The sequence below is a fragment of the Homo sapiens genome, chromosome 11, assembly GCF_000001405.40.
Source record: "Homo sapiens chromosome 11, GRCh38.p14 Primary Assembly".
Lineage (NCBI taxonomy): Eukaryota > Metazoa > Chordata > Mammalia > Primates > Hominidae > Homo > Homo sapiens.
Window position 1 is genome coordinate 49,207,927 of NC_000011.10, and position 14,584 is coordinate 49,222,510.

The 14,584-nt window shown below is 37.2% G+C and overlaps 1 protein-coding gene across 15 annotated transcripts in view; it reads right to left on the reverse strand.

Annotated features, from left to right (window-relative positions):
* FOLH1 (folate hydrolase 1) overlaps positions 1 to 676 on the reverse strand; it is a 63,511-nt gene extending 62,835 nt beyond the window's left edge. For 6 of the 15 annotated variants that reach the window (XM_047426681.1, XM_047426678.1, XM_017017434.2 and 3 more), the window contains exon 1: positions 632 to 676. Coding sequence is in view for 5 of the 15 variants with exons in the window: in XM_017017433.3 (XP_016872922.1) it covers positions 298 to 483 (186 nt within the window). In the remaining 10 variants the exon portion in view is untranslated. Of the gene's footprint in view, positions 1 to 297 lie in introns of all 15 variants that reach the window. The other 9 variants (NM_001193473.3, NM_001014986.3, NM_004476.3 and 6 more) reach the window with 3 other exon arrangements.

The window sequence follows — 14,584 nt, forward strand, 5'->3', positions numbered from 1 at the left end:
AGAGGTAAAAAAACAAACAAACAAACAAAACAAAACAAAACAAAACAAAAGCAAAAAAAAAACTTCCTCTGTCTTGCAGGGCTCCAGCACTTGGAACCTTCCTACGCCCAGTTTCAGGTTCTCTCAGTTCTACCCTCAACCTGAGTGACTGTCCTACCAGCAGCTTGTCGAGAACTCAGCCCTGCACCGTTCCCAGCTACCCTCCTCCTAACTCGAGGGGTGCTCACCCCACATTACCCCGACCCTAATCGCCGCCCCTGGGGAAGACCAGCAACAGGATCCCACTCGGCAGCTGACCCGCGAGTCCCAGCACCGCGGCACCACGGGGAAGACTCCGAGGTTTGCTCCGCGAGGCGCCCCCCTACCGAAGAGGAAGCCGAGGAGAAAGAAGCCACCCGCCAGCACCAGCGCCCCAGCGCACAGCCAGCGCGGGCGGCGCGCGGTGGCCACAGCCGAGTCGGTTTCGTGAAGGAGATTCCACATCTCGGCGCGAGCAGAGCCGGCCTCCCGGGACCCGCGCCTGTGCTGCTGCTCTACTGCGCGCCCTCCAACCACCACGGCGGGGTAAAGTCTCTCTCAATCTCACTAATGCCTCGCTTATCAGCCCTGCAGGCTGGAATTCGCTCCAGACCTGGGGTCCAGTTTCTCCACCACAGCAGTGTTTCTAGAGTGCACTGAACCAATCCGAGCGAGAGAGAGAGGCAACATCTGCCTCCAGGAGAAGGAAATCCGGCCCCTTTTGAGAGGCGCCTTAAAAAAAAAAACTTTCTTGGAAAATGTCCAGCTCTTGCTTAAATATAAAAATGAAAGGAAGAAAGAGACTCTCCTCTCTCCACTCCTATAATTATGAGGAACTTTTATTCAACTCTGAAATTCTATACAATCTCTACAATACTCTACTGAATAAAAGCAGAGCAGAAAAAGCTGCGCTTTTTTTCCATAGTCGGGAATGCTTGTCATCAGTGTAAATCACCACCGCGCCCTTTTTCCTAAAGAATATTATTGTTATTAATAAACATGTAGGGTATTATCCTCCACTTACATTACAAAACCATTTTTTAAAGCCGGGCGTGGTGGCTCACGCCTGTAATCCCAGCACTTTGGGAGGCCCAGACAGGCGGATCACGAAGTCGAGAAATCGAGACCATCCTGGCCAACATGGTGAAACCCCATCTCTACTAAAAATACAAAAATTAGCTGGGCGTGGTGGCGGGCTCCTGTAGTCCCAGCTACTCAGGAGGCTGAGGCAGGAGAATCGCTTGAACCGGGGAGGCGGAGGTTGCAGTCAGCCAAGATAGCGCCACTGCACTGGAGCCTGGTGACAGAGTGAGACTCCCTCAAGAAAGAAAGGAAGGGAAGGGAAAGGGAAGGAAGGGGAGGGGAAGGGAGGGGAGGGGAGGGGAGGAAAGAAAAGAATACTGGAACTTGTTGAAGGCAGAGACTTTATTTTCATATCCCGGCTATGTCTGGCTACTGTCTTACGTAATAGATATAAAATCAATCTTGGTTGGATTAACCAGAAGAATCATCATACAAAATTATATCCCCGCTATAAATTCTTAATAATAATAATCGTATTTCAAGGGAGAGAATAGCTACATGCTTTATAAAATAAACTGTGTTCTTATAATCCGTGAGAGAGGCCGTGCATTTGCTAGGAGTACTTTATGGAAGCACTGCTTTTAACAGAACCATAAGGTACAGGTAGGATTTGACCCAGTGGAGATGAGAAGAAACATTAGGGGCCATGGGCCAGCTGAGTAGGCAAAGGCAGAAAACTCAGAGTGTATTCAAGGAATAGCAAACAGTTTGCTTTGAGAAAGGGAGAGCACAGTATGAGTTAAGTGGAAAAAGATGGACTAGATTGTACAGTCTTGGGTGCTTCGATGTAGACTTTCTGAGCAAAGTGAAAAATTTGGGAAAATTAATTTGTCAACAATGAACCATGACAACTCCTAGATGACCTAGGGCAGGAAGGAAGGGAATTTCTTCATCTCTTTCTAACAAAATCCTGAATGTACTATATCTTTCCTAATGTTCCTATTGTCAAATCTAATCAGAGATGGCTAATAATAGTGACTAATATTTAAAGAGCACTTATTATGAGTGATGCATGTTATGTACATCACCTCATTTAATCACCATTGGGACCCTTCAAGGTTTGTTCTATTACTCTTCCCGATTTACACATGGTAAAACTGAAATTTAGCTAGATTAGGTAAGTCATTCGAAGTCACAAAGCTAAGACTTAATATAATGTCTGTCTTACTTTGTACCACTCTACAGTCTCTATTCAGCACAGGATACCTTTATGGAGTTTGCTTGTGGCACTGGAGGGAGCACTGAGTTTGGAGTCAGAAGACTCTTAACAGTCTTTGGACCTGGTCCTGTCCAAGCTGTGTACCCCTGGGTGCTAAGTATTCAACTTACCAGAATATATCTTCTCATTTGTAAAACGTGGGATCACCCAGTAACATTACCCAGTACAGTTGGTTAATGTGTTTTCTTTGAAGGTTAGATGTGATTATAAGTAAGCAAATTTCAGTTAAATATAAAAGTGATTTTTGAACAATAGAATTTATTCAATTAATAATTCAATTAATAAGACGCTATGGTGAAGAGGATGTATTTGAAGAATTCAGACAATGAATGAATATCTGTCACATATTGTAAGGCTTGTGGAACTTACAGTTTAGTGGAGAAGATAAACCTTCAACAAGTAGTTAATAACCAATATACTGAGCATTTTCTATATGGAGGACACCACACTATGTGCTTTATGTGCATTATTTCATTTAATTATCATGACTTATCCTGAAATAATTTAAAATCTCTAACAGGTGATTATGTAAACCACACTAGATTTTTCTGTTGCACCCTGTATTATTATTTACCTTTTACAGATAAGAAAACTGAGGTTTAAAGAAATTGATTAAGTTTTGCGGAGCGCTAAGGAGTTAAAAGAAAAATGAAAAATGGGCTTAGCTGGCAGGAACAGAAACAGGGGTAGAGGGGAATGAATGTTCCAAGAATAGGGTCAACTGCAAATGGCTCACTTAGCACCCAAGCATCCTCTTACAAGCACCCAGCTCACAGCCCATCTGTAACCAAGCATCCTGTCTGCAAGCATTCAGCCTAAGGAGCACCCTTATAAAACTCCACTCGAGTCCCTGCCTCTTTGCAGACAGCCTTCCCTCTGCTGTCTGGCCAGTTGCTCCCTTGCAATGTGTCTCCCCTTTTCTCTAAATAAATATGCCTTTCTAAACTCATTACTGTCTTGGTATTAAGGTAAATTCTTTTACTACCTGCACGCCAGCCTCACAGTTGTTGACCATGACAACTTTCTCAAGAAAACAATGGGCAGATGTTTGTTTTCTGAATCCCACCGATAAGCATTAGGCCATACTATACTTCCTTCTTTAACTATTGGAAAAAGATTGAAGGTGACTCTTCATGTCAGAATTTGTAGAAACAAACATGAACTAAATCAAAGTATTATACTCATCTATGAGGTGTGTTCTAGAAAAAAATTAAAATATTTTTAATTCCTCTTATTTCCAGCCTTTTACCCATATTTGCCTTTGAAAAATACTTAGTCAAGAAAAATCACTGGCTTTCTTTCTTTCTTTCTTTCTTTCTTTCTTTCTTTCTTTCTTTCTTTCTTTCTTTCTTTCTTTCTTTCTTTCTTTCATTTATTTATTGTCAAAGTCTGGCTTTGTCACCTCAAACCGCTGGGCTCAAGCAATCCTCCCACCTCAGCCTGCCAAGTAGCAGAAGCTACAAACACCAGCCACCATGCCTTACTCATTTTAAAAAAAATTTTGTAGAGACAGGGTCTTGCCATGTTGCCCAGGCTGATCGTGAACTGGCCACAAGCAATCCTCTTGTCTCAGGCTCCCAAAGCCCTGGGAATAAATACATGAGCCACTATGCCCAGCCTCCTTGGCTACTTCTTAATCTGTAGACATAGCATTCTTGGACTTTAAACTGCATGCTGAATAACAGAGCTCTAGAAGATAAAAATTCTAACTTATTTCTCCAAGTAATTTGATTTTTTAAAATTTCAGTCTTTTTAAATTGGGGGTGGTTACATAGGCATTTATATTTGTTGAATTCTTTTTGTCATATGTTAAAAATATGTGCACTTTATTGTATTTAAAGTATAAATTTTAAATTTGATATAAACAAAAAGATAGGGCCATAGATAAATAAGAATGTTCCCTAATGGTTCATCTGAATTCCATTGTTTCAAAGTAATTAATTCTCATTCTCCTTATGCTAACTTTACCTAAAGTAGGGGAATATTTGCAGAGGGAACTTTGTAGACAGATTTCTTTGCTTCGGAATTTTGAAAAATAGAAAATGTGGTAATACTGTCTCCAATGTAATGATGAAATGGAGTAGTAAATGAACATATTTTAGGAAAAAATGCTTGTAATATTTAAATAAAATATATATTTTTCCTCTGCTAATTTTTATTACTAAAATAAAATGCTTTTTTTTTTTTTGTGAGATGGAGTCTTGCTCTGTTGCCCAGCCTGGAGAGCAGTGGCACGATTTCGGCTCACTGCAACCTCCACCTCCCCGGTTCAAGATATTCTGCTGCCTAGCCTCCTGAGTAGCAGGGACTACAGGTGTGTGCCACCATGCCCAGCTAATTTTTGTATTTTTAGTAGAGGCAGAATTTCATGTTAGCCAGGATGGTCTCGATCTCTTGACCTCCTTATCTGCCTGTCTCGGCCTCCCAAAGTGCTGGAATAACAGGCGTGAGCCACCGCGCCTGGCCAAAATGCTTATTTTTATACAGAAGTATAAAAAGTAGGAAGCTTAAGTACCATTTTATAACCCTCTGTCCTTTCCCTTAACATATCACCATCCAGAGATGAATACCGTCAACATTTTGGTAGTAATTATTTGAGACATTTTTCTTCAAATACACACAGTACTTCGAATGAAAAATGAAATCATGCTATGCCTTTATTTTTAAGAAAACTTTTAATTAACATATACATACATAAAATGTACAAGTCTTAAGTGTACAGCTTGATGAGTTTTTACAAAATGAACACACTGGTCATTCAGCATCATGATCAAGAGACAGGGTATCAACAAAACTCCACAAGCCCTCATCACATCCCCTTTACATCACTATCTTTCATGCTGACGGATATCCACTATTCTCCTGTTCTAAATTCTAAATAATGTCTAGTTTTGCTGTTTTGAAATTTCTGTAATTGGAATCACGTAGTACTTGTATTTTTGTGTTTGGCTTGTTTCCCTAGGAACTATGCTTGTGAAATACATTAGTAGTGTGCTAGTAAATCAGCTCTAAAGAAGGGGGAAAGCCTTGGTTTGCAGCATTTACTGATTTCTGTGATGCAAATATTCCCAACCATGGCAGATATCAAGGAAACAACAAGAAGTTACTGAATGTGCAGTCTGAAAGGGAAGGCCACAATTGCCTTTTGTAAGCTGGCAGAAGCAGGCTGCAGCACACCACTGGACACTCCCTGTCTTTCCATGTAGCAATAGTTCATTCATTTTCAGTGTTGTAGATTTATCAGTTGTATAAATGTTTCACAATTTATTTATCTATTCTCTCCTTAGTAGATTTTTAGATTTTCTCCAGTTCTTGGCTATTAGAAATTGTACTTCAGTGAACTTTCTTGTGCATATCTTTTGGAGGTCATATGTATGTATTTTTGTGGGTATTTATCTAGAAGTCATAGGTATGTATATGTTCAGCTTTAGTAGAAACTTTTAGAGTTTTCTAAGGTTTTTATGTACTATTCATACCAGAAGAGTATGTGGAATTCCAGTTTCTCTCTGTTCTTGCCAACCAACTGGTATTTTACTGATGACAACTAAAATGGAGCAGCTTTTCATGTGGTTGCTTCTAATTTGTACTCTTCTTTTTTTGCACTGACCAAGTGTTTTGTCCCATTTTCGCTTGGGTATTCTGCCTTTTTCTTTTTTATTTGTAGGAGTTTTTGTATATATTATGACTATAATTTTATAATTTATTTTATTCAATAATGCAGAATTTTACATGAGCATATAAAAGATCTATCTTATCATTTTGTCACTTTATAGTATTTATAAAATATATTTATAATATTTTAAAGAATAGACATAAAATGAGGTATTTCATTTTTATTCATATCAAAATTCTTATCAAATAAGTGATTTACAAACATTTCATTTGACATTCTAGTTGTCTTTTCACTTTCTTGGTAATATCACATGAGTACTTAAAACAAATTTTTTTACGTGTACCTGATTCACATGAGAATTTAATAGATGCTCCCTTACTTACAATGATTTGGCTTAGGATTTTTCAACTTTATGATGCTGCATAAGTGATATACATTCAGCAAAAACCATACTTCAAGTACTCATACAATCATTTTGCTTTTCGCTTTTTGAACAGTATTCAATACATTACATGAGATACTCAACACTTTATAACAAAATAGGCTTTGTATTAGATGATTTTTTTCAACTGTTGGCTAATGTAAGTGTTCTGGGATGTTTAACTTAGGCGAGGCTAAGTTATAATGTTCAATAGGTTAGGTATATGAATCATACATACCTGATTTTAAATTTATCTCAGTCAGTAACTCGCATATGCAAATATGGGCAAATTGTTCCATTTTGCCTCATTTGTAATCTTTACCATTCCCAGAAAAGGCTCTTCTCAAAGTTACCAATGGTCTAGGTCTTTTCAAAGGCAGTGATCAGTTTTTTGATTCTGTTTTGTTTGTGTGTGTGTGTGTCAGTGGAACAACTGAACCATGTGACGTGGTATAGCCATAAGAATTCTTTAGACCCATAAGAACATCTGTTCTTACCAAACAGGAAAAACATGACAAAGGTGTAGGTTTCCATCAAGATCAGAGGTATTTTGACCTATGTAAGAAGATATTTTAAATAATATAAAAGCCAAAGAAAATTAAATCCAGTGATATAACCCTGAGTGGGTTTGCAGAGTTCTGTGGGAAAAAAATATTATAGGTGAAATCCAAACTGAAGCATGTAATGTACCTGAGCCATAAGATTTGCAAGACCATTTAGTGAGTTGATATGGTGACTACAGATAAGACTGAATATGTTCTATCACAGTAACAGATATCAGAGTCCCTGGTCAATATCTTAGGCGAATATGCATATTCCAACCATCTAGGGGAGTATCCTCAAAGACTTTGTGGTAACACTGTTGTTTCCTTTGTGGGAAAGCCTACTTTTACCCTTAAAATATTTAAAGTAAACATAGAAATATTTAGGTAATTAAACCCATTAGTTAAAATAAGTTTAAGCATATTTAGTATTTCAAAAATGTGATGCGTACTGTTCAGAAGAATATTGACTATTCAATGAAACTTTTTTTTAATGTAAGCTGTATAAATTGAGTAGTTGAGTTCACCTTTTGAGTTTTAAATTCAAAGTACTTACGGTATTTATATGCACTGTGACTGGAATATGGAAAAGAAGTTAAAATCGGGCCAGGCACACTGGCTCACTCCTACGATCCTAGCACTTTGGGAGGCTGAGGTGGGCAGATTGCTTGAGCTCAGGAGTTCCAGACCAGCCTGGGCAGCATGGTGAAACCCTATCTCTACAAAAAATAGAAACATTATCTGGGTGTGGTGGCTTGCGCCTATAGTCCCAGCTACTGGGGAGGCTGAGGTGAGAGGATAGCTCACACCTGGAAGGTTGGAGCTGCAGTAAGCCTGAGTGCAAGCCACCGCACTCCAGCCTGGGTGACAGAGTGAGACCCTGTCTCAAAAAAAAAAAAAAAAAAGAAAAAAGAAGTTAAGATTACTCATAATTATAAATTAAATATATTAGACTTACAAAAATTAATTTTAAGTACTTAGAAATGTTTGTTGGACAGACCATTGAAGTACCTAAAATATTAATAGAATACATTTATAAATGTTATTTAAAATGCTTAACAGTATTTAATTAACTATGTAAAATAAGACGAAGACTATGAGATATCCTGTAAGTTATTGTTAAAATTTATTAGATTTCTAAATAGAGTAAGATATGCCGAGACCAGCTTGGTCTGGGAGACCCTAACCCAGCGGCGCTAGAGGAATTAAAGATACACACACAGAAACATAGAGGTGTGAAGTGGGAAATCAGGGGTCTCACAGCCTTCAGAGCTGAGAGCCCTGAACAGAGATTTACCCACATATCTATTAACAGCAAGCCAGTCATTAGCATTGTTTCTATAGATATTAACTAAAAGTATCCCTTATGGGAAATGAAGGGACGGGCCAAATTAAAGGAATAGGTTGGGCTAGTTAACTGCAGCAGGAGCATATTCTTAAGGCACAGATCGCTCATGCTTTTGTTTGTGGCTTAAGAATGACTTTAAGTGGTTTTCCACCCTGGGCAGGCCAGGTGTTCCTTGCCCTCATTCCTGTAAACCCACAACCTTCCAGCTTGGGCGTTAGGGCCATTATGAACATGTTACAGTGCTGCAGAGATTTTGTTTATGGCCAGTTTTGGGGCCAGTTTATGGCCAGATTTTTGGGGGCCTGCTCCCAACAAAGATATATATATATATATGGAATATCAAGAAGCTAAAGAACAGGGTTTTTTTAAATGTAGCTTCAATCAGTTAAATATTGATTATAAAAATTAAAGTAAAACTCTGAAGAGTTTTCTGTGTATAAACCTGTCCTCAAGGATATAAAAAAACCGTCAGTGCAGACACTCAGAGAGTTTAACAAAGTTAATTGCTAATTCCTTCATTAACACTTTCTCTTCTAGACTGTATGACACCATTGTCCTCTGAAACTGACTGGCGTCCCTTCTCAGTCTCCTTTGCCAGCCCTGCCTTTTTTACCAGACCTTTAAATGTTGGAGTGTTCCAGGGCTCTCCCTTTGGCCCTGCTCTTTTCATTCTATAGTGTCTCTTGAGGTGATTTCAAACTCCAAGTACCATCTATATCTGGCCACAACTGGCTAGAGGTTCACCAAACACATTTCCCTATTGTTCTGGGAATACAGCTAGGCCGCATGTCTCAGTCTCCCTTAAAGGTAGGGGTGTCCTCATTATTGTGTAAGAACTAATAACATATGAGAGGAAGTGATGTATGCCCCTTCCAAGCTTATCCCCCTCCAAAAACCTCCTATACAATTTTCCCCTCTCTTTGTTTACCCTAATGGTTTCTGAAACACACAGAGGCTCTAGCAGAGGATGCAGAGGCCCTGGAGAATGATACAGCCAGACAGAAAGAGCCTAGATTACTGAACCATTGCTAGGAGCGATCAATAACACCCAAATAAACTTTATAGCAATAAAAGAATAAATTATTTTTTTAACTGAATGGATTGATTTGGTACAGAAGCTGGTGCACTAAACACTTCTGATCTTGACTGAGACCTGCATTTTTTTCGTATTTGTTGTCCACTTAGACTTCTCCCTTGAGATTCAGCATTAAATATGTAATTACTTAATTGAGGTCTCCAACTGGAAGTCTATTAGCTCAAGCTTCACATAGTGAAAGATAAGTTGCTCTACAACCCACTGCCCAACAAATTTACTTTGTGCCTCCCCAATACCAACCCAACCTATTGCCAGACTTCCCTCCCTGTCGTACCTGAATAAATGATGACACCACTCTTCACAGCAGTTCAGGCTAAAATCCTGTCACTCTTGACTATTTTACTCATAACCAGCAGCTACCTCTACTTAGTCCTAAAAGGGAAAAAAAGTCATCTTTTCCTTGTAAACCTTTACCTTTACTCTATTTTTCTCTGCTAAACAAAGTTTAAACTTTTTATCAAGATGTACAAATCTTTGCAAAATCTCATACAAATCTAGTCTTGCGATGAACTTCTACCTTGAAAACCTCATGCCCCTGGTCACTGTGAAATGGATGAAGAGTAGATATCTGACTCAGCTTTGGAGAATATTTTTGCCAAGGTGTTGAATTCAAGTTTAAAGTGACTGGAAGCATTACATGAGTGGCTAGCTAGCTTCTACCTCACATATGAATTGACTAACAAAGAAAGCAGGATTAACTAGAAAGCAGAATAAAGCAAGTGCCCAGAGAGGAGCAGAAACAATATTAGAAATGGAGCACTCCTTCAATTTATAATCTCCAAGATCTTGATTACTGCATTTCCTGAGACCCATTGTCATTTCTACATTTGGCTTCTGTGAGACATTCTTGTATCTTTATAATAAGCCCCTACCACCATTACTCCCTCTCTTTTTTGCTTAAGCTAACTGGAATTGGTTTATTTTATCTACCGTATAGAATCCTGAATAATTAAGCTTTCCAGCCTCATCTCTAATTCACTAGTACTCCCCGATTCCCTTCTGCCATCACATATGAAAACTGGATACATTGAACTTCAAATGGTTTCTAGAATATTGTTGGCTATTTTGTGATATTAGGATTTAAAAAAATCTGTCTCATTTGCTTGTGATATTCGCTGCCACTTAGCTTTCTGGAAATGTTTTAGTCATGCATTAGGGCTCGTCTCAAATATCACCCTTGCATTGGACTTATTTGGACCTTCTGCAGGAAGATATTTTTATTCCATCTTTTGTGCTGTCATAGTACTCTATCTACCCATCTGTAATGACATGAAGGACATGAAATCATTATTGAAAGATTTTCTTCCTCATTAGACTGACGCAAAGGCAGGAATGATGCCCAATTAATTCTGAATGCCTCAAGTATACCACACGATTTGACCTACAGTTGTATGTCTATTTGTCAAATGAGGGAAGAAATACATGAAAGAAGAAACTGTGCTAGCCCTGCCAATTATTATTTTAGCAGATATCTTATTTTAATTGTTTAAGTTTCAAATGATCTTTGTGGTATACTGGCTTATTTGTTTAGTTTATTTCTCAGCACATTCTTTGCATATTTTATTACCCATCAGCAATAAAAGACAAGAAGGGAAAGAAGGAATTGTAATAATCAGCTCTTCACACCCTTATTTCTCTTCCCTAATATTTCCCCAAGTTTTTATTTTGTTCTCACAATTAAGTCTATACTACTTAGAAAATAAGATTAAATCTTCTATGCTCCTTTGGTTAGAAATTTTTCTGGGATGGATTTAAAGTTGAACATCTATTGCAACTTAAAATTTTTGTTAAAGTTGCTCTTTCTTTCTAATAGCAATTATGTTGGGCTAGAGGATAAATAGTTGGAGATAATGGAATTTTCTCTTAGTGTTATTGCTGCCTCCATTCTTCTATATCTTGTAATGGACTCTTTGGAGATTATAATAATAATGAATACTAGCTTAATATTTATCAACCACAGAGCCGGGGGCTGAGCCAAGTGGTTTTATATACATTGCCTTATTTACTCCTTTTCTCAGCACTGTGACTATAGTACTTTCATAATACGTATAACTTTAGAGGTATTTTGAGTTACTAAGAAATAACATGAAAACAAGCTCTTTGAGCCTGTAAGATTACTAGCTAGGACAGCTTTGTAAGAGAAAGACCTCTTTACCCTTCAGGAGTAGCAGGAAAAGTATGCTATTCAACAGGATTGGCTTATCCACCTGACTCTGACATAATCATATATGAAATGATACTGATATCAGCTTTCTTTCTCCAATTGTTGATAATTTGGTTCATTATTTCTTGTCCTTCCTCATGAGTAATTTGATCTGTCCTGTTCCAGTTCTTCCCTTCCAGAGCAGGAAAGTCAAAGGAAAGGAGGAAGTTGTGTAGAAGAAAAGTTTCAAGGGGCATTCTCCGGAAGGACTGAAACATTATGCTAACCAGTCAAAACATATTTTGAGAAGTTAAATTTGGATTAGAAGTCTCTTTCTATAAATTTTTTTTCAATTTTTAAAAATTTTTATCTTTAAAAAATGTGTTTTTCAAATTTTATCAAAAAGCTCGAGCTTTGTCCTAGCTGAGCTCACAGGAAAAGGAATGTTTTCAGATCTCAGATCTGAATAAGTGGGGGAACAGCTTATCTCTGAGGGGGCAAGCTGGTAAGAGGGTCCCATTTGAAAAACTCAGAAACAAGAAAGGATTTTAAGTGGGAACCAGGAGTTTCTCTTCAAAATAATCCTTTACACTCTGTTCATTAAAATATATATATATTTTTATATATTATATATTTAAATATATATTTATTTAAAAATATATTATATTATATATAAAATATATATTATATTTTATATACATATATTATATTGTATATATAAAATATATATTATATTTTATATACATATATATTATATTGTATATATAAAATATATATTTAAAATATTATATATATATATGAATTTAAAAAGTAGTCCTTTCACAAGGTCTAAGGATTTCTCCACTGCTGATAATCACAAGAGAACAAACTGAGTCTCTAGATAGGGAGAAAGTGAGAGTTGCAACATAGTTCCAGACTCCAGAAGAAAAGGGTTCACGTGCCACGGATTGCCAAGATATCCTGTGATAACTTAGCTTCTGCTTAGAGTGCTTAGGCCTATATCTCCTATCTACTATTTTCTCTATTTCTTGGGAAAGCTGTCTGATTCCATCTGTGTTTCTATCTGGATATTTAGCACTTATCACCATTTTATTATATTATTATATATTATTCAACTGGATTTTGTGGTTTAAGAGAATGTTGGGCTAGGAATCAGACCAGTGGTTTAATGCACTGAAAAGACATAATAATGTTATAATAACTAACACTTATTGCTTATTTGCTCTGTGTTGGGACTATGCTTAATGCTTTACATGGAATGTTGAGAATTACTGAAGTGTTCAGTGAGCAACAAACTATGAAGGTAGATCTATGTGATAAAAATTTAGTTTGGTAACAGAATAAAATATGTAAAAAGAAGTTATCTGTGGTGTATGTGGGATCATTGGTGTGCTTTGTCCTCAGACATAAGTGTAGGAGGGGGCATTTCAGATGAATGTTGCTATTTCTACAAGTCAAGCCAAGTAATTCAATAGAATAAAAATTTGCCATTATTAATTATTATTACTATTAATTTTGTCAAGCCTGGGCAGCTATATGTCATACCTTCAGTAAAAAGGAATATCCATAGCCTAGACATTGAAACTAATATATTTATTGTTCCAGATGCTAACACAGCTGAGTGATGCCCTTCATTCAGGAGCTCCTGGGGAACACAGTGCTATATAATACAGTGAAATGGGAATCAGTGAGAAGAGGAAAAATAACTTCATCAGGAATGTGAATCCAAGATTCTTAAAAGGGCAGAGTACTTTTCTCATTCATTGTTTTTTTTTTTACCTCCATTCAATTAAAGAGACTTGGGGTCATCGATGTTTCTTTTCTCTTCCATTTCATTTTTGACTTAATACACAAATGGAGTATGTTATTGACAGAGGGTCCCCCTTGTGGTCCAGCGTAAACTCCGTCATTCAATCAAAACTGCACACCAAAAACCTATATGATTCATAAGCAAGTGGCATAGGTGTTTGCGCTACGTCATATTTCAACAGGTAGCATACCTCCAATTTATTTGTTTATTTTTGAGTTGCTTAGTTTGTATTTGCATTTTCTGGGTACTAGATTCCTGACAAGAATCAGGTAAGGCTGTCATAGCCCAATATATGGAGTTCTATAACTCAGCACTTTAAAGAAAATAGTCCTCAGGACTTTAAAAAAGTTTTTAAAAGGCAAATTAAATAATTATTTGTATTTTAAAAAAATCTTTGTGCTTTTAAAATGCTATTAATTTAAACATGATTATGGACAATAGATTGCTAGTGATGAATGATGGGGTTTTGGACGCACCAGACATTGTACAGCTTCCCTTGGGGCAAGCATGGTGATCGATGTGGGTTTCGCAAGCTGGAGTCATTCAACTTGGTGTTCTAGTCTTGTATATATACTTAATTTCATATTTAAATTGTACAATTATGTTATTTTGACTATAGTCAACCTGTTGTGCTATTAAATACTAGATATTATTTATTCTTTCTAACTATTTTTTGTACCCAATAACCATCCCCACCTCACCCTCAAAGCCTACACTACCCTTTGCAGCCTATGGTAACTATCCTTCTGCTCTCTACCTCCATGCGTTCTATTGTTTTGATTTTTACATCCCACAAATAAATGAGAACATGAAATGTTTGTCTTTCTGTGCCTGGATTATTTCACCTAAAATAAAATGTTTGTCTTTCACCTAAAATAATAAAATGTTTGTCTTTCTGTGCCTGGATTATTTCTCCTCAAATAATGATCTCCAGGTCCATTCATGTTGTTGCAAATTTTTTTCATGTGTCTTTACCACCTGTTCTGGTACCATACCCATCTGTGTTCAATTTTTTTTGTACTGAAAAGTATATATATATATCTCCAATTCCCTGTGATACCGAGGAAAGACAGCATACACACACACACACACACACACACATATGTATATGTATATATATACATATGCATATACAGCTACTGAGTGACAAGTGGTATGGTATAATATCACCTGTCACTCAGTAGCTATCATATATATATATATAAAACAAGGAATTGTTTCCAGGAACCCCAAAGATACTGAAATCTGAGGACGCTCAGCTCAAGTCCCTTATGTAAAATGGCATAGTTAT